Below are 19,281 nucleotides of genomic sequence, written 5' to 3'. Positions count from 1 at the left end.
AGTAAATCATTGTTCTCACTAGTAAGGCTACTTCTAATTTGTCATAGAATATAGTTGTTATTTAATATATTTTTAAGCCATACATTATCAATTAGAGTTTTGAGAGTATATGTTTACTCTATTTGGCACAGAAGAGATTCTTCTATTTCTTTTTTCATATATGTTAGAATAGGTATTTTACTGAAAGAATACTAGTTTATGACAAGTTAAAAATTTTGGATAAAGGCACTAAGAAGTGAACACTCATGCCGTAACTTTGAATTATGACTCATAAACTTTCGGCAGTGGTGTAAAGTGGTTGTTCAACCCTTTTGAAAGGCAGTTTAGCAAGGATTGCTAAATATTTTTAATATTGGTACCTTTTGACCCAACATCTTAGAAAAACACTCCTTTGAGTGTGCTTTCTGTTTTGAAAAAGCAGAAACCCCCAAAATCCATCAATAGGGAACCTATGTATACACACACATATATGCATATATACACATACATTTATACATACAGGTGGGAAAAAAGTTAGAGATTATATACCAAAAGTTTGGTAGTGGTTTTATTCAGTTGATATGATTGTAGAGCACTTTCATTTTTAATGTTTTTTATTTCTTTAACATTTTAATCTGGTCTAACTTTGTATTACATTTGTTTGTAATCAGAAAGAAAGATATAAAAACGAAAATAATTTATTTTTTTTCTGAATTCACAGTCCTGCTTAGTGAAAGAGCAGCTCATTTTTGATCCTCACTCTTTCTTCTTTGTGACCTTTGTCAGGTGGATCTCTCCACCCACTGTGGGTTCATGGGTGGCCTTCAGCGCAATGGCAGCACCGGGCAGACGGCCCCTTACTATGCTACCTCAACTGTGGAAGTGATTTTCCATGTTTCCACTCGAATGCCGTCAGACTCAGATGATTCCCTCACCAAAAAGGTAAGGGGTCTCCTCGGGCACCATTCTTAGCTGCCCTGGTTTGTAGGTGAGGCTCTCCTAGGACAGACAAATACAAGGGTAGAACGCACACTGAGATGGTTTCTCTGAACTCTACGACCCTGAGATTAAGGTTTGGGGAAAGAAGGCGTCTTAAATGTTATTACTTTTGGATCTTCCCTCCCGTGAATATTACCTGATGGAAAATGACATTTTTGATCTCACAGATTGTCAAAGGTTACAAAATATGATGACCCTGTACTGGTGGGGCTCTGGGAAAGCAGGCCCCTCTGAGGCTTGCTGCGGGGCGATTTGGCAGCATCTGTCAACATAAGTGCAGGTGTGCAGCTGCTCAGCCGCCCCACTGTTGCCCCTTACCTTTTATTCTTCAACTTGCCTTGTGGCCAGTTTTCCTTAGAATTCAAAGGAAACCTTATCCACCCCTGAGGAACCTCCCCCAGGGAACTTGGCCTTTACTTTCCAACCTGCAGGATGTTTGCCTCAGGCAACCCTGTGTTAAAAGTGAGGAGCGCCTTAAAAGAAGAGGCATTTAACTCTGGGAAGGAAGCCTCTAATCAGATCTGCTTCCAGATGAGGAGAACGTCTCAGAGCAACTGTGATATGCACTCACCTGGCCTGCTAGCAGGTGGGGAACCTAGAATCCCCACCTTACTCTCTCCCTACCACATAAATGCAAGGGACTGAGGGCAGCACCTCACGTGCTGACCAAAGCTGGCCACTGGGGAGTCTACTGTGGTGGTTATAGCCAGGCTCCGGTGACAGGCAGACCAGGGATCAGAGGTATATTCAGTTATTTCATCAACCTGTGCCTCAGTTTTTCATCTATTAAGTGAGATTAAAAACACAGCCTATGTTACAGGGTTGTTGAGTGAAGTAAATGAGATAATTCCTATAAAATTGCTTAGCACGGTGCCTGGGAAGATGTCTCTGACCATCATCCCTCATTATTGCCCATTGGTCTAATTGATTCTTTTTTTCCCCCTGCCCCGTTAGCCAGATGCTTTATATTGGCCGATTGGCCTCACTGTACCTGCTTTATTTCTTTATTGTACGGTTTTGCTTTTTCACCACTGCAGCCACAGATGTCTGGACTATGTACAGGCATACCTTGTTTCATTGTGCAGCACTTTATTACACTTCACAGGTATTACATTTTTTACAAATTGGATATTTGTGGCAACCCTTAATCAAACAAGTCTATTGGCACCATTTTTCTAACAGCAGATGCTCATTTGTGTCTCTGTCTCATTTTGTAATTTTCACAATATTTCTATTATTATTATCATTATCTCATATGGTGATCTGTAATCAGTGACCTTTGATGTTGCTATCGTAATTGTTTTGGGGCACCACAAACTGCCCTTATAAGATGGCAAACTTAATTCATACATGTTCGGTGTGTTCTGACTGCTCCACCCACCGGCCGTTCCCCTATGTATCTTCCGCTCCTTGGGCCTTCCTATTCCCTAAGCACAATAGTAGTGAAATTAGGCCAATTAATAACCCCTTGATGGCCTCAAAGTATTCAAGTGAAAGGAAAAGTTGGATGTCTCTCACTTGAAATCAAAAGCTAGGAATGATTAGAAGGCATGTTGAAAGCTGAGATAGGGCAAAAGCTAGACCTCTTTAACCAAATATTTACCCAAGTTTTGAACATAAAGGAAAAGTTTTTGAAGGAAATTAAAAGTGCTACTCCAGTGAACACATGAATGATAAAGAAAACGAAATAGCCTTATTGCTGATATGGAGAAAGTTTTGGTGGTCTGAACAGATCAAACCAGCCACAACATTCCCTTAAGCCAGAGCCTAATCCAGAGCAAGGCCCTACACTGTTAAATTTTATGAAGGCTGAGAGAGGTGAGGAAGCTGCAGAAGAAAAGTTTGAAGCTTGCCGAGGTTGGTTCATGAAGTTTGAGGAAAGAAGCTGTCTTCATAAAATGAAAGCACAAGGCGAAGCATTAAGTGCTCATGCAGAAGCTGCAGCTTATCTGGAAGATCTAACTAAGATCACTGATGGAGGTGGCTACACTAAACAACAGATTTTCAGTGTAGTAAAAACAGCCTTCTATTGGAAGAAGTTTCTATCTACCACTTTCATAACTAGAGAGGAAAAGTTAATGTTTGGTTTCAAAGCTTCAAAGGAACAGTCTGACTCTCTTGTTAGGGCTAATGCAGCTGGTGACTTTAAGTTGAAGCCAGTGCTCATTTACCATTCCCCAAATTCTAGGGCCCTTAAACATTATGCTAAATCTACTCTACCTGTGCTCAATAAATGGAACAACAAAACCAGGATGACAGCACGTCTGTTTAGAGCATGGCTTACTGAAGATTTAAAGCCAACTGTTGAGACCTGCTACTCAGAATAAAAGATTTATTTCAGAGTATTACTGCTCATTGACAATGTACCTCATCACTCAAGAGCTCTGAAGGAGATGTAGTGTTGTTTTTCATTCCTGCTAACACAATATCCATATTCTGCAACCCACAGATCAAGGAGTAATTTCAACTTTCAAGTCTTACTATTTAAGAACTTTCATAAGGCTATGGCTGTCATAGGGAGTGAGTTCTCTGATGGATCTGGCAAAGACCATTGAAAACCTTCTGGAATGGATTCACCATTCTAGATGCCATTAGGAACATTCGTGATTCATGGGAACAGATCAAGATATCAAGATTCACAGGAGTTTGGATAGAGTCCCACCCTCATGGATGACTTTAAAAGATTCAAGACTTCAGTGAAGGAAGTCACTGCACATTTAGCAGAAATAGCAAGAGAACTAGAATTAGAAGTGGAGACTGAAGATGTAGCTGAATTACTGCAATGTCATGATAAAATTTGACTGGATGAAAAGTTGCTTCTTATGGATAAGCAAAGAAAGTGGGTTTCTTGAGAAGGAATCTGTTCTCAGTGATGATGCTATGAACATTGTTGAAATTACAACAAAAGATTTAGAATATTCCATAAATTTAATTGGTAAAGCAGTGACAGGGTTTGAAAATATTACTCCAATTTCAAAAGAAGTTCTACTGTGGGCAAAATGCTGTCAGACACCATCACATGCTACAGAGAAATCTTTCATGAAAGGAAGAGTCAATCAATGTGGCAATTTCATTATCTTACCTTAAGAAATTGCCACAGCCACCCCAGCCTTCAGCAACTGCCACCCTGATCAATCAGCAACCAACAACATCAAGGCAAAACCCTGTACCAGCAAAAAAAGACTACAACTCACTGAAGGCTCAGATAATCATTAGCATTTTTTAGCAATAAAATTTTTTTATTAATATACATATGGTAAGAAATAATGCTATTGCACATTTAATAGACTATAGTAAACATAAGTTTTATGCACACTGCTTTCCCAGTGCACACAAAAGTTTATATGATTTGCTTTATTGCAATATCTGTATTTGCAATATCTAAAAAACCTATTGCGGATATGTCTGAAACCAAGCCTATAATATCTCTGAGGTGTGCCTGTATATGATGGGCAGCAGTGCATGTGAAACATCAGAACTCAAGTCATGGCCCAATTACAGACAACTTCCGTAGTGATCAAGTGTCTCAGATGTAGAAAGTACAATTTGCGTTCAAAAACTCAGCAGCCTTTCCCTCTCCTGCCCCAGCATGCTATAATGACCTCCTGGGGGTGGCAGTACTACAGCCAGAAGCGCTGACCACGTGCTGGTTCCCACACGTCTTGGAGGAGCTGCCTCAGTGTTGGGTTTTGATGGCTGCCCCTGGCTGTAGAGCTCTCAGCAAAGGGAACTCTGCCCTCCAAGAATTCACCAGGATCTCAGACTCTAGTGTAGCTTACCAGGATCCTAAGCTGGGCTCACACATCTTTTTTATTTGCAGTACATTGTAAATTGTTTCTGCTTTGCAAATGTGTCACCATATTCTATAATTTTCTTATGACTGAGAATTATTTTGTTAAAAGATAAAATTTATATATAAAATATTTTTTAAATTATTTCTTAAGTAAAGTAGGACTGTTTTTTCTTTTTTGAGAAAAGACATGTTTTCTTGATAAAATGCCAAGCTGTAAATAATGTTCTAAGACTTGGCCTGGTTGAATGATTCCCTACTGTAATAATCAAAATTCAGCTGATACCTTTTGCAGCTGTAAGGTTTAGCATCATTAGTGATAAACTCTCTTTATCAGATGTCTCACAGCTAGACTAAAAATCAGTCACAGTAACAGCAGCCCACAGTTCCTTGTCTTATTCTAACTAAATTGTCCCTAACAGCTTAAAAATGAGCTGCAAAATTCTAAAGTGATTCATGCTCTCTTCTGCCCCCATCATGGGGGGACTTTTTCAATTCTGCAATCCAGTTGCAACCCCATACTGAACTCTTGATCCTTCACTGCAGAAATTTGTTAGCTCTAGCTAGATTAGATTTTTCACAGCTAATCTAACTGCTGTAGGGGTTTGCAGAGTGGGGACAGAGCTGTGCTATTGGATTTGTCCAATTCATTTGACTCCAGGACTATAATTGCACTTATGTCTTACAAGGCTTTTATAGCCTCAGGCTGGCCAGCCACATAAAAAACAAATTGGCAGTGATACAGTACGAGTGAAAAGGGATGAAAGGCCCACATTATCAGTCTCCAGGCAGCGCTGTTCTGGCAGGAAGTTTCTTGGTTAATTTACAAATAAAACTTAGATTTTAGGATGGGCACACTGTCAGCTGAACAATGGGGATGTCAGGCCTGACTGTTACTTAGTAAAAGTAGCAGCCGGGCCCACTGAGGAGCAGGAATTCTTCAATCAAACAGACGACTCCTTCTGGAGCCAGCTGGCGATGTAATGCAATTAGTCGAGAAAGGAGGTCAGCCTATTAGGTGTGTACCATGACCGGTGTCACCAGTGGCGTGCAGCCTGGCAGCAGCAACAGACAGAATGGCTTAGGCAAAGGGACTTTAAAACTCTGTTAGGATGAAAAGTTGTGGGTCCGGGATTGATTTCTTAAGACTTAAAATCTGAGCATTTGTTCTGAGCCTGATAAGTATCCAGCCATTGTGGAGCCTGTTGTGCAGTTGAAGGAGTAGCTAACATAAACACCGGCTCCATTCCAGAAGGAGACTCATCATTCTTCCCCAGTTACACAGGAACCAGATCAACTTGACTTGTGTGCACTCACCGAACTCACTGATGGGTTTCTAATTTGAGGGCCTCTAATCCCAGTTCTTCAATACTCACAAAATGATGTGTCAATGATGGACTCTTCTTTAAATTGGGCAACACTTTGAGCCATCCAGAGTATTCCGTATGTTCTGACATGGTTGACAGTTTGCCCAGATGAATTTTATTTATTTTACCTACCTGTTTTCTTATAGGCAAAAGAAGGCATATTTTGCCCTTTGCTCCAGATTTATCAGCCGATTGCTCCCATGGCCTTAGCTTTTAGTTTTGTGATTTAGCTAATTAAACTGTGACATATCCAGAAGTCTGAGTCACGTGCCACTGAAAGCAGCTATGAGAAGATGAATATCATATCATTACCACACAAAAATTGCTCTTCCTTAATTACAGAATTGCCACACTGGGAGAATGGGTCTGTTAGTGTGAAACTAACCTCCCTCGCTGTAGTTCTGAGTATACAGATGCAAGTAAAATTAAGAGATACTTACTTAGGTTATGTAATTGAGTAACCCAATTTGAAATGGGAAAGTAACTACAAAACTTCAATAATCACGGTATTACCTCACAGTCAATGTTTTGCAACTAATACTTGTGGATCAAAAGGAGCTATCACAGATACTAGAGCACCAACATCGGGTGGTGGCAGCACGTTTGAGGGGTGTTTAGTAGGTGAGTGTTTCCATTCAGACATTTGTGCAAGCATTATACCAAGGGACCCAGAGCCACCCTGAAGCTGGCTGTCTTTGCAGGGTGAGGGCTGTGTGAACTCTAGGACAGCCCCAGTTCTCACAATTACTTTCTGCAGGTCTCAATTCCTCCTACAGTTCCAGTTAGATACTATTCATATTTCCCCGAAAACATACCTATATTAGGTTCTTGGTGATGCTGGCTACCGTGTTTTCACTTCAAAAGGACTGAATTTTAGGAGTGTATTGTAATGTCTTTGCATGTTTTATTAAAAAGGAAAAAGAAAAAAGCTGTAGCAAATATAGGAATGGAGAAATATAAAGAGATGTTCAGCACTACTAGGAGGCCCAGGGTTGTATTTTGTTTAAAACTATGTAAGGGGTTGGCTATACATTTTGCCTGCTATTCTTTTACTTTTATGTGGGAAGGAGGAAGGAAAAAAATGATGTACTGGGTAATTTTGCCATTAGAAAGTCGGAGATGCCATTAAATTGTTCTGGATCATCGTGACTTGTGCTCAGCACCCGCAGTTGCATTTGTCCCAGAGCCCACATTCAAACACAGTTGAATCGTGCACCCTTCAGTATAGGTACAATGGTATAGGCACAGGTCACTTTTTAAATAATTGGCCTGTACAGTCATTCCCAGAAGTATGAGAGAGTGAAGAATAAACAGGCATTGCAACAGATGAGCTTCCTTTTGTAACCTTATAAACAGAAAAGAGGCTATGTTGGGGTCACCTCAGATTTTCTTTTTGTGGTCAAATAGTCTAAAGAAAACTGTATTTATGCTAACACGTTTTAAATACATAGTATTCCAGAACACCTTTTTAAAAAATACTTTAAGACAAAACTAAAAATGTTAAATTTGACACATCTCTATTTTATTAAACTGCTTCTGAATTTAGTCATTTTTAATGTTCATCTGTTAGATAAGGAAGCAAGAAATAATTGTTCATGGTGCCAGAGAGCATCCTTCTGCAGTTCCACGTGAGAGAACGAGAATCTCAAATTCCCAGAAGATGTCAGAGGGCCTTACCAGCTTTTGTGGTTTCAGAACTTCAATTTTGGCCAACATTTTAATCTTCATAATCTAGTTTCTTTTAGTCACACTTTGATTCTTTGTCACTTAAATGATTTCGTGTGCAGCTTTCTCCAGCTTGAGATGGTACGGTCATCGTGCAGGAGATTGATCAAGGGTGTTCTTACACCTGACAGAGCCTGGGCCTGAAAGAACTCTCAAGGGGTCTTGTTTTGGAGATCTTTCTAGTAAGGCCTCCTCAAAGACGCCAGGAGTCTGTGATTTGTTTTTGTTCTTTACAGCCTCTTTGTGTATAAGATGATAAAACAAGTGGGCTACACTACTAAGCAATGACAGTAAAGTAACTTTGGGTGCAGGCTTAGGTAGCTTTGAAACAGTGGAAATGGCCCTGAATTGGAAGCCCCAGTGCATGTCCCGGGCCCACTCTGCCACTGCTACTCATGCATCCTCGGGTAGGTGGTGCCTTCACCTTCCTGAGCGCCCATTTCTTTTTTGTACAGTAAGATGAAGATGATGTCATCTACCTCAGAGAGTTAGTGGGAAGATTAAATGAGATAGTATGTGTGAACATGTCTTCTATACAGTAAGCACTCCTTAAATGCTAGGTAGGAGTGTTCTTATCAGACTTAAGCAGTAGTTATTCATTTCCTAAGCAAAGGTAATTTTATACGTCCTTTTCTTAAAGGTTTGTCACAAATCTAGTTTCTTATACATTTGGTAACAATTGTGTTGTAGTGGCTTATGTTCTCTTATGTTCATATTCTTATTTTCATAATAACCATTGAATTGAGAATCTTATAAAGCACAACTGCAATGTGGAATAAAAGACACGTGTTGTTAATTGTTTAGAAACATATTCAGCAATATAAAGCACAGGACTCTGACGCAGGAGTAAAATTCCATTAGAAAATAAATTCTTACAAAGGCCTCAGCCCCATCCAGCTGTAATGTGCCTGCGAAGCTAGCATGCCTTATCTTGGTACCAACACATTAAGAAGACAGGCTGTGTTTTTATGCACTTGTGCTTTTTAAAATCCTCACAGAAGAACATCAATGTTGTAGCCTTTTTTGGTAGTGAAATTTTTTTGGCCTTTGAGTTTTATAATTCAATTTGTAAGCCATGACCCCTCATAAACTGCTGTTATCACCCTGATTAATAAACAGTCAATTTGCTGTTGCAGCTTCGTCACTTGGGGAATGACGAGGTCCATATCGTCTGGTCTGAACACTCCAGAGACTACCGCAGGGGTATTATCCCAACTGCCTTTGGAGATGTTTCAATCATTATTTACCCAATGAAGAATCACATGTTCTTCATCGCGATAACGAAGAAACCTGAGGTACGTTTTCATTGCATTGTTGTACTGACTCATAAAGCATTTGCCATGTGATTCATTGTCATTGAAAATCAGTGATACAAATATGTTAAAGGGGACTCTCATCCAGTTGTTGAATGTCTTACATATATCTGAATTATGCATGCTTTATAGGAATTAAATATGAATTGGGATTTTCAAAGAATTTTTCATCATGAGCACAAAATTGTATTATTGTATTACTAGGCCTCTTTGGAAATTATAATGTCAAATTTATTATTTTGTAAATGTTTTAAGTTTTCTAAATTTTGTACTTTTGAAAAATTGTATCTTGAAATTTTGGTTATGTTGATTAATAATAAGAGTTGAAGGAACCCCATATCACATCTAGCATTTTGTGGAGAACCGTGGGTATGGAATCCAGCCTTGCCTGGTGTCGGGCACTTGCCAAGCCTCTGACTGTGCTAATGGGGTCAATCCTGCAGAATTGCAGGCATGTCCACGAAGAGGCCGGGACTCTGGAGCACGGCCCACGTGATGAGTTTCAACAATTGGAGCACCTTGCTGCAGAATCAATTCAGCCATGTCAATTGGTATTGATCATGGGAAGAGCTGGAACAATCCAATGATCTGTGTGCTGTGTACTAAATTGGCTGCAGTTTCGATCCTTGTCATACCTTTAGTGGTATTTTAGCCATGCTTTATGTAGCGACTTGTTTTTGTTTTAGAATTACTAATAGAAGGGCGTTTTTAAAGTTCTTAAATTAAACATTAGCATATTAAGCCATCCCTCAAGAGGAATGACATTGTGTTTTTCAGCTTGATAGTATGTATAATCTTCATTTTCATTTCAAGTTGTTCTCCTGAAGGAGCTGAAAGTTACCCTTCTGAAAACTCTCTTTTAAAGCTTTGAAATAATAGGCAACAGATTTATTGTTCATATTGGGATTTATGACCTAATCTAAAGGGTTAAAGTTGTGAGGATTAAATGAGCTAATAAATAGAAAGTGCTTCAAACAGTGCCTGGTCCAGAGTAAAAGCTACTTAAGTGTTAGCTATTATTATTATTATTGTTGCTGTTGTTTTTTGTTATTACTACTATGGAGAGAGAATACTTAATGAATTCCAAGTTTAACATGCTTATTATTCTCAGAATAGATGCATTGTGGGTCAACTCCTGAATTCATAAAAGTCCCATTCTGGCTGTTGCAAAGCCTGACATAAAGGGAACCCTCTTTTCTATTGAGGGAACGCAGATGCCAAAAGTCACTTCATATTAAATATTTGCATCATTTTTTATTCTGATCTCCATGTGCGTGAAGTTTTCAGTTTTGTGTATGAAAATGGCTCTTAGTGCTAACATTTGTATTTGTCCATGAAGAGCACTACTTTAAAGAATTAAACTGAAAATTTTAATATAAGAGAACCAGTGAATTTAGTGTCTTATAGCTTTCAAAAAGAGGAAATGTGTTTCTTTAATATTTAGTATGGATTAATTGGCTTTATTAGCTCATTTTCAACATGGGCTTCTAAAATGTCATTTAATGTCCTAAAAATGTCACCTTTATTTTTAAGTAAAAAACATGCAAGCCATTTTAATTCACTTTATAGAATCAAAAGTGATTTTTTTGATTTTTTAAAAAGATAGTACACTTATAATGCATGAATATAATTATTAACATACCTTGTAAACTTTCTTATAAAATGTTTGCACATTTAATGAATTTGGCTATAAATTCTGACAAGATGAATTGAGCAAATCGCTTTCTTAATATTTTAATTCAAAAAGCCTAAAGGGAAGAAGAGAATAATGGCCAACTGGAAATTTAGTATTATCCTTACATTTAAAGTACAAACCATTACAATGTAATAAAATTAATCCAGACATTTCCAGGGCAAGTGTGGCTGACCTTTTGTTCACCAACCACTGACCCCAGGGTGAATGCAAGAGGCTTGCGGAGGGAAAGTCTGTTTGTTTGGCTTCAGTCCCTGGTATTTAAATTGCATTCCCTAATCAAATGAAAAGGCTGTCCTCTCTATCAGGTTACAGAATCCATGGCAACATTTGGCCTTTTATATCCATAATGTTAGCCTTTTTGTTTGCATCTAAGTAGAGACACCTGGAGCAATGTTAACATTAACCGATTTAGCATTAATAGCTTCATTATATAAGAATTTCTGATCAGATAGCTGTTACTTTTGTTATATTGCTTCAGCTTGTATTGTTGTCATTTTTTATCTCCCTGCTTGGCAACCAGGCAATGATTTGCAAATTTTTTTTGTCTTGATTAATTAAGCAATATAATTATCAGTAACCGTGATGCAGTCTTTGCTCAACAAAGCTTCTGAGAGAAAACAATGGTAAGTCTGTTAGTATGAATGCATTCCACGCGTCCCAGATGCATGAGGATATTACGGACAATGAGGGGAAAGGCCGCCTGTGAGCGAGGACAAAGGGTGCCACGCAGACTCGACACACTGCACATACCGCCAGGGACATGCTGCGGGCTCCCTGGGACACAGACGCCTCGTTAGATTACAGCTAGTCAGCAGAGATTAATTCTCAGCCATTTGGTACAATAATTTACCCATTCCCCAGCCTTTTAACTAGTGCTCCTTACTGTGGAAGGGAAGGCTTTGTACTCAAAAGGTTTATTTAACCTTGCCTACTTTTAGGGATCTCCACCAAAATCCGTATTTTTTTCTTAGAAATTGTAATGACGCAGCTGCTTGAAGTTAAGGAATATTCCTTTTGAAGGACAGGATATGCATGTTTCCAAAATTGTAGGTAGAGTCAAAGGCATTCTTTTAGCACCTGTGTATTTCATCTGAGTATAGTATGACTCTGTGGTCTAAGTACATTTATTTTACTGTTCTCTGGGCAGCCATACTCCTCTAAGAATAATTTTAATCCTTTTTTGGGAGAAAAAAAAACCTCATCAGTACACAAAAGTCTTGCTCATTGGGTAGAGTCATGCATATTCAAATTGTACTTTCATTCACTCGGCCTCATTAATAGCGTATGTAATAATGTAGGGCTATTTGTAATACAAGCTTACAGGCAGCATTGCTTCCAAGTCCTTTGAAATTTAACATATTTCGCTTTTTCATTCCATACACCTCCCTTAAATATACAAATTATGTGCCTGGCAGAATCCGCCTCCTCTTAATAATACACAGCATTTGTGAAATGGTATGTTGAAGAAGTGTGGGTGTGCTTGTGTGAACGCATAAAACCCTCTCATCTGAGTGGGCCTGTTCACTTCTTGAGCTTTGTATTGAACTTCTTTTTTTCATTTAAAAAAAAAAAATCAGTGTGCTTAGCAGCATCATTCCATTGTTAAATTACTTTCAAAATAAGTCCATCTCCATAAACATTGACACAATCATTCTTTGGTCACAGAAAAGAAATGTGTTATTGTTAGACTTATGTTTTTTCCAGCTTTTATTATTAAGTCAGCAGTCAAGGAAAGACTTGCATATAGAGCAGAATGTGAGTGATTCAAGGGGTTTGTTAAAATGCCAGAGTTGTTCTTCAGAAAAGTGATTCATAGAACTTCCACACTGCAGTGAGTACCCGTGCTGCTTTCCCTCTCTTTCAGTATCTGGAAAGTAATATTGGTGTTCAAAGTGTTTGCCTTCAGAAATTTGCGAAGGTAAGTTTTAGTGGTTTGGGCATGTTTATTTCCAGGCATAGTAGTGACTGGCTGGTGACCAGTTGACCAGAGGGTAGGTGTTCAGAAGCAGCCTTGAGCAGGAGCAGTTGAGACAAGAGGAAGTTTTGGTGAAGTGTCCTCCTCTTCACCTCAACCAGAGTGTCCCTTTTGTAAATGGAAAATATGCTAATGTCCTCTGAACTCTACTTACTCAGCCCTGGTACATACGAGCATGGAGAAAAAAATGATAGTGATTCAGTGATTTGTGAAAAGCGTAGGAGGGGAAGTAGTAAGACAGGAGATGGGACACCAGAGTTCCAGTTCTAAGCCTACCACAAGATGGTAGGTGTCTTGGGCAGATCTTTCCGTTTCTTTGAATCTTAGCTTCCTCAGCTGTGAAATGCTGGTTGAGAACCAAGGCTTCTCTGTAGTCCTTACAGGGATTCTAAATGCCTTTTTTTTTTTGGATCCTCTTGTTCCTAGCTGCCCGTACCTTTCCTTAAGTTGTCCTGACTATCCCCAGAGCGTCATGGAAGTAGTCGCTGGCTCTCTTGAAGGTTCAGCAGCTATTGTGAGTGAGTGAGTGTGAGTGTGTGTGTGTGTGTGTGTGTGTGTGTGTGTGTTCATGTGTGTTCATGCATCCCTCTTCAGGGTGACATCTAGCCCAGGACCTGTACCTGGAGCAGGTGCCCAGAAATGCTGGGAAAAGGCTGTTGTGCCAGAAGTTACAAGAGCATTTGCACATGGGAGGCTGAGAGGAGCCTAGGATTGGCACTGAGTTTGAAAGGAAGTCTTTTAAGCTTACTAGTGTGGCCTCACGGTATAGGGAGAGTGTTTGACTTTGCAACATGGTTATGTAAATTTCTTTCTTTTCATTTTATATGTGCAGTTTTCTTAAATATTTATCCCAATCACAGCCAACTAACCTGTTTAAGATTAAATCATGCCCTTTAAAATGCTCTGGGAACTTCTCAGGGAAAATAAATTGTTAACCTTTGAATATACAAAGAATTATTTATTTAGAAAAGATCATTGAAAATACCAAACAACCAGAATGTACTAAAATAGGTTATTAAATGGATTACTATGTTATGTTCTGTTTGGATAATTTATTATTATTGTTATTAGCATTATTTTTAGTAAAGGAATGACATTGAGAACTATGTGAAAAGGCATCTGTCATTTGCAGATGTTAAATTAAAATCAAATTTCTTCTCTAATTCATTGCCACTTCTAATTAGAGGAATTCCCTAGATACAGGGGATTTGTATTATTCCTTTTGTCCGGTTTTTGAAAGACTGAGTCACCCACGAGCAGTTGCTGAAGAATACTAAAGAACGTTTATTTATACAATAAGCCTTGATACAGATGGAAGAAAATCTATAGCCTACTATTATTAGCTCTTAGCTGCTGTTTTATCTTTCACAACAATTTGGCTTTTGAGAATTTCTTCTCAACTGATTTTCCTCAGAAGTTGACGTTGTTTCCCCTTTTTTAAGTTGGTCTTTGCATATACATCTTCTTCTTATTTGCTTTATCTTCTCTCCTTTGGCCAGCCAGAGCCAGCCTGTGTAAATGCATACCAAATGGCAAATGGTAATGTAAGAAAGCAAGGCAGCTCTCATTCTCTGCCTCTGAGCTACTCAGTAGGAAGGGCCTTTTGGCTCAAGAGACAGCACACTCCCCAGACCCCTTGGCATGCGACTGCCTAGGTTCCTGCACACAGGTGCACACAATGTCAGCCACTCAGCCCAGCAAGGAGGATGGGTGTCCAGAGCACACAGAACTTTTCTGTGAAAAGGAAAGAGCGCTCATTGCCCCAAATCAGATAATTTATCTTTACAGTAGTATTTTCTATGCTATACTTGAAATGTATTAGTTTGTTGTTGTTGGGTTTTTTGCTCTTTTTTTTTTTTTCATGAATACTTTCATTACAACTCCACCTCACTGATTACTGGACTGCTTTTAGTATAAGCCATAAGAGGAAGTACACTTATTTTTTTATATAGAATATTTTTTAAATAAACTCTTTGAAGTGTGGTGTTACTAAAGATAGAAGGAAGAAAGGGTTATTCTTTCTTATTTTCTTATTTCTTATTTGAACCTGGCAACACGAATGATCTTAGACTATGAGTAGATTCTTAATTTTCCTGTTTGGAACTGAAACGCCTGTGTTTTCTACCAGTACTGTCGTAGAGGGAAAGCTCATTATTAGTCATCACTAGTAGAACTAACAGTCTCCTCCTTCTTTGCTCCCATTTGAATTCTCATAGGTCCGACTGCTTCCTCTGTGCTGTAGACGCTGATATCAAAATAGCTTTGCCCAATCTTTGCAGTTTTTAAATCTTTATGTTTTAATTGTGGAACATTTTCTTCAAACCCACCAAACAAAACTATGGCAGTGGAAGAAGGCTACTCAGGATCCCAAGGCCACTCCCGTCACCCTTCCCCTGGCCTTTCATGCATCTCCATGAAGCAAAAGACAGATGGTCACAAGAGATCTTATTCTAGAAATGTCGAAAGGAGCAACAGATTTGGTTAATGCCCAGCAATTAGTCCCTTGGGAACAGGAGTGCTTCATTCAGTCAAGCAGGAAACATCTATCAGTTGAGGCTGCTTCATGCCAGGTACTGTGTCAAGGGCTGGGGGTCCCACTCTCCTGGAATCTAAATTTTAGTAAGGGAGAAGGCCAGTAAATAAGTAAATAAATGGTTGAGCTGAGACTCTTATAGCAATGGGTATTTCAAAGAAAGTAAAGCAGAGTGATAGAATGGGCAGGAAGGAGGCTGCTTTAATTCAGATAGGGAGACATCTGGTTTCCAGTCAGTATGTAGGGAGCTTGATAGTCATCACTGCCATCCTCACAGCAAGAAAAAGAACGAGCTGATAATCAGCAGTTAACTGATAATCAAACAGTTCTTAGATTCATCAGAGAATTGAAATGACCAGGCAAACCCCTGTCCCTAAAGTTAGAGAGATAGACAGGCAGATACAGAGAAGCACACCTTATCAGAACAGAAGCCCAGGAGCAGAAACCTCTGGGAAACCAATACCACAGTAGGAATACTTAAATTGTAATTCACCAATTGCAGGAGGCTTAGTGTGGGCAAATCTGAGAGTTAAATAGAGTCAAGTGGGGCTGGCTGACAATCCTCCACACTTTTGTGAGTTCTACCTCTAGGATACCTACCAGGTTCTCACAGTAAAAACTGGAGGAAAATCCCCTCTTTGGCAGAAAAAGGGAGAAAGCAGTCATTTGGAAATACAGTTGACCTTTCAGCAACATGGGTTTGAACTGTGTGGGTCCACCTACACATGGATTTTTTTCAACCAAACACAGATGGAAAATATACAGTATTTGTGGGAGACGAAACCCATGTAAATGGAGGGCTGACTTTTGGTATTTGTGGGCCAATTGTGGGAATTAAGTATGCTTGGATTTTGGCATGCACAGGGGTGGGGCATTGGTTTTGGAACCAGTCCCCCTCATATACCTAGGTATGACTATATACCCAAAGTATTTTGTTCTTAACAAAGTCTGCCCTCAAGAAAAACTTTTTTTTTTTTTTTTTCGAGACCGAGTCTGGCTCTGTCACCCAGGCTAGAGTGCAGTGGCACGATCTCAGCTCACTGCAACCTCTGCCTCCAGGGCTCAAGCAATCCTCGCACCTCAGCCTCCTGAGTAGCTGGGACTAAAGGCGTATGCCACCACGCCTGGCTAAGTTTTGTATTTTTTTTTGGAGAAATGGGATTTCACTGTGTGGCCCAGGCTGGTCTCAAACTCCTGAACTCAAGTGATCCACTCACCTCAGCCTCCCAAAGTGCTGATATTACAGGTATGAGCTACTGTGCCCAGCCAAGAGAAACTATTTTCACACAGCCTGTCTGGCCTGGGGGAACGGAAACACTTAATACCAACGCCTTCTAGTCTCCTACCTCATCTAAGTTGGAATTGGAAGGAGACAAGAAAACAAAACTGAAAAGCACTTTTGAAGGTCACAGTCCAGGGGCACAGGCTCACTGAAAGACTGAGACTAAATCCTAGGACTATAGAATGCTTCCTCTTCTCCATATCTAACTACGATATCAGGAGGGCTTTTGTATAGTAACAGGGAGTACAGCTGAAAGAACTGCACATCCCAGATCTTATTTAAGAAAAGTTATGTAAAAAAGCCTACAAATAACATGGGTGATAACAGCAAGGTCATTCAAAGAAATTTTAACCTCTGACATCTACAGCTATAGAAAACAAGAAGCACGGCCTGTTAGCCAGTTAAACATAAAACCCCACATTTGAGGCCTGATTACTTCAGTTCATTTTACCCAATACATCATATCCAGCTTTCAACAAAAAGTACAAGGCCCACTAAAAGGCAAAATAAACAATTCTAAGAGACAGAGCAGGCATCAAAACCGGACTCAAATATGGCAGAGATTTTAGAATAATCAGATTGACAATTTAAAATTACTGATTAATATGCTAAGGATACTAATGGAAAAAGTGGACAACATATAAGAAGAGATGGCTAATGTAAGTAGAGAGATAGGCACTCCAAGAAATAATTAAAATGAAATGCTAGAAACCAAAAACCCTATGACAGAAACAAAGAATGCCGGATGGGCTCATGAGTAAACTGGGCATGGCCAAGGAGAGGAATTGTGAGCCTGTGGATGTGTCAGTAGAAACCGTGAAACTGGAATGCAGAGGGGAGAAAAGGTTGAAAAACATCTGAACAGAACTTCCAAGACCTGTGTGACAATCACAAAAGATGTAACAACATGTAATGAGAATACAAGGAAGAGAAAGGAGAAGAAATATTGGAAATTGTCATGGCTGAGAATTTTTCAAAATTAATGACAGATCCAGGAAGCACCAGGAACACCAAGCAGAATAAATATCAAAATGTCTATACCTAGACACATACAAAGCACAGGAAACCAAAAAAGAAGAGAAAATCTTGAAAGGAGCCAGAGGGCTCCTATGCTGGCACCAGTAGCTGCAGAAGAGCAAGGGTAATAAATAGGGCTTCTCTTCAGAAACTGAGCGATCAAGAAGAGAGTGGCATAATATATTTATTGTGTTGAAAGGAAAAAACAAAAACAAAAAACTACCAACCTAGAATTCTGTATCCAGAGAAATTATCCTTCAAAAGTGAAGGAGAAAGACCTTCTCAGACAAAAGTTGAGGGAATGTGTGATTAGTAGACCTGCCTTGCCTTTCCTTCATCATAAAAAAAAAAAAAAATTATAGAAGTCATAAAGATGGACCCACTTAAAGAAGGGAAAAGCTTTAGAGAAGGAAGAAATATAAGTAAAATGAAATCTGTTTTTTTTATTCTTTTTTTGAAACAGACTGTCAGTCTGTTGTCCAGGCTGGAATATAGTGGCATGATCATGGCTCACTGCAACCTGGATCTCCCCAGGCTCAGGTGATCCTCCTACCTCGGCTTCCTGGATAGCTGGGACTACAGGCACACACCACCATGCCTGGCTAATTTTGTGTTTTTTCTAGAGACAGGGTTTTGCCATGATGCCCAGGCTGGTCTTGAACTCCTGGGCTCAAGTGATCTGCTCACCCTGGCCTCCCAAAGTGCTGGGATTACAGGCATGAGCCACCACACCCAGCCCTTTTCTTATTCTTAATTGATCTAACAGATAACAATATGTTCCAGATAGTAATAGCAACAAGTATTTCATGCTTATAGCATATGGATGAATAATAAATGATAGCAATGTTATAAGGATAGGAGGGAGGAATTGGGAATACTCTCTTATAAGGAACTTCCACTATCTGTGAAGCAGTATAGTGTTATTTGAAAGTGGATTTGGGTTAGTTATAAATGTATTTTCATACTCAGGGCAACCACCAATAAAATGTTTTTAAAAGAATTATAATATGCCGAGAGAGGAAAAAAATGGACTCATATAAAATTCTCACTTAAAACTAGAGAAGGCAGCAAATGAGTGGAAGACCAAAAAAGAAAACAATAAGGACAATGAATAAAATACATGTCAGTCGTCTTAAATATATCAGTTAAAAGAGACTGTCAGAGTGGGTGCCAAAGAAGCCAAGACCCAACTATTTATGTTGTCTACAGGAGACCCACTTTAAATGTGAAGACACAGATTAAAAGTAAAGGGGTGGAGAAAGATATACCATGCTCACACTAATCAGAGAAAGCTGGAATAACTATATTAATATCAGATGGAGCTAACATCAGAGCAGGGAAAATTATCAGGGGTACAGGGGACATTACATAGCAGAACCTGCAAGGCCACAGTGAGGAGTTGGCCCAAATCATGAACTAGAGCAGGGTTGTCCAATCTTTTGCATCCCAAGGGCCACATTGGAAAAAGAATTATCTTGGGCCACACATAAAATACACTAACACTAATAATAGCTAATGACCTTAAAAAAAATTGCAAAAAAAAAAAAAAATCTCATAATGTTTTAAGAAAGTTCCGAATTTGTGTTGGGCCACATTCAAAGTCAT

At 39.2% G+C, this 19,281-nt stretch overlaps 1 protein-coding gene across 20 annotated transcripts in view, besides 1 other annotated feature; it reads left to right on the top strand.

Moving 5' to 3' along the window:
* Positions 1–19,281, top strand: part of RALGAPA2 (Ral GTPase activating protein catalytic subunit alpha 2) — a 323,115-nt gene that overhangs the window by 208,373 nt on the left and 95,461 nt on the right. For 17 of the 20 annotated variants that reach the window (XR_007067471.1, XR_937111.3, XR_007067470.1 and 14 more), the window contains 2 exons: positions 766–921; positions 8,997–9,155. Coding sequence is in view for 13 of the 20 variants with exons in the window: in XM_011529310.3 (XP_011527612.1) it covers positions 766–921; positions 8,997–9,155 (315 nt within the window). In the remaining 7 variants the exon portion in view is untranslated. Of the gene's footprint in view, positions 1–765; positions 922–8,996; positions 9,156–15,060; positions 15,415–19,281 lie in introns of those variants that run through there. The other 3 variants (XR_007067473.1, XR_937112.3, XR_007067472.1) reach the window with 2 other exon arrangements.
* Positions 10,716–11,963: an enhancer, noted in NCBI's record as "VISTA enhancer hs688". NCBI's record gives its function as "enhancer in: neural tube[8/8] | hindbrain (rhombencephalon)[8/8]" and the evidence as "EXISTENCE:transgenic organism evidence [ECO:0001131][PMID:17130149]".

This window comes from Homo sapiens, chromosome 20, assembly GCF_000001405.40.
Source record: "Homo sapiens chromosome 20, GRCh38.p14 Primary Assembly".
Lineage (NCBI taxonomy): Eukaryota > Metazoa > Chordata > Mammalia > Primates > Hominidae > Homo > Homo sapiens.
The sequence above is the reverse complement of the archived record's forward strand: the minus strand, read 5'-3'. Positions and strand labels throughout refer to the sequence as shown.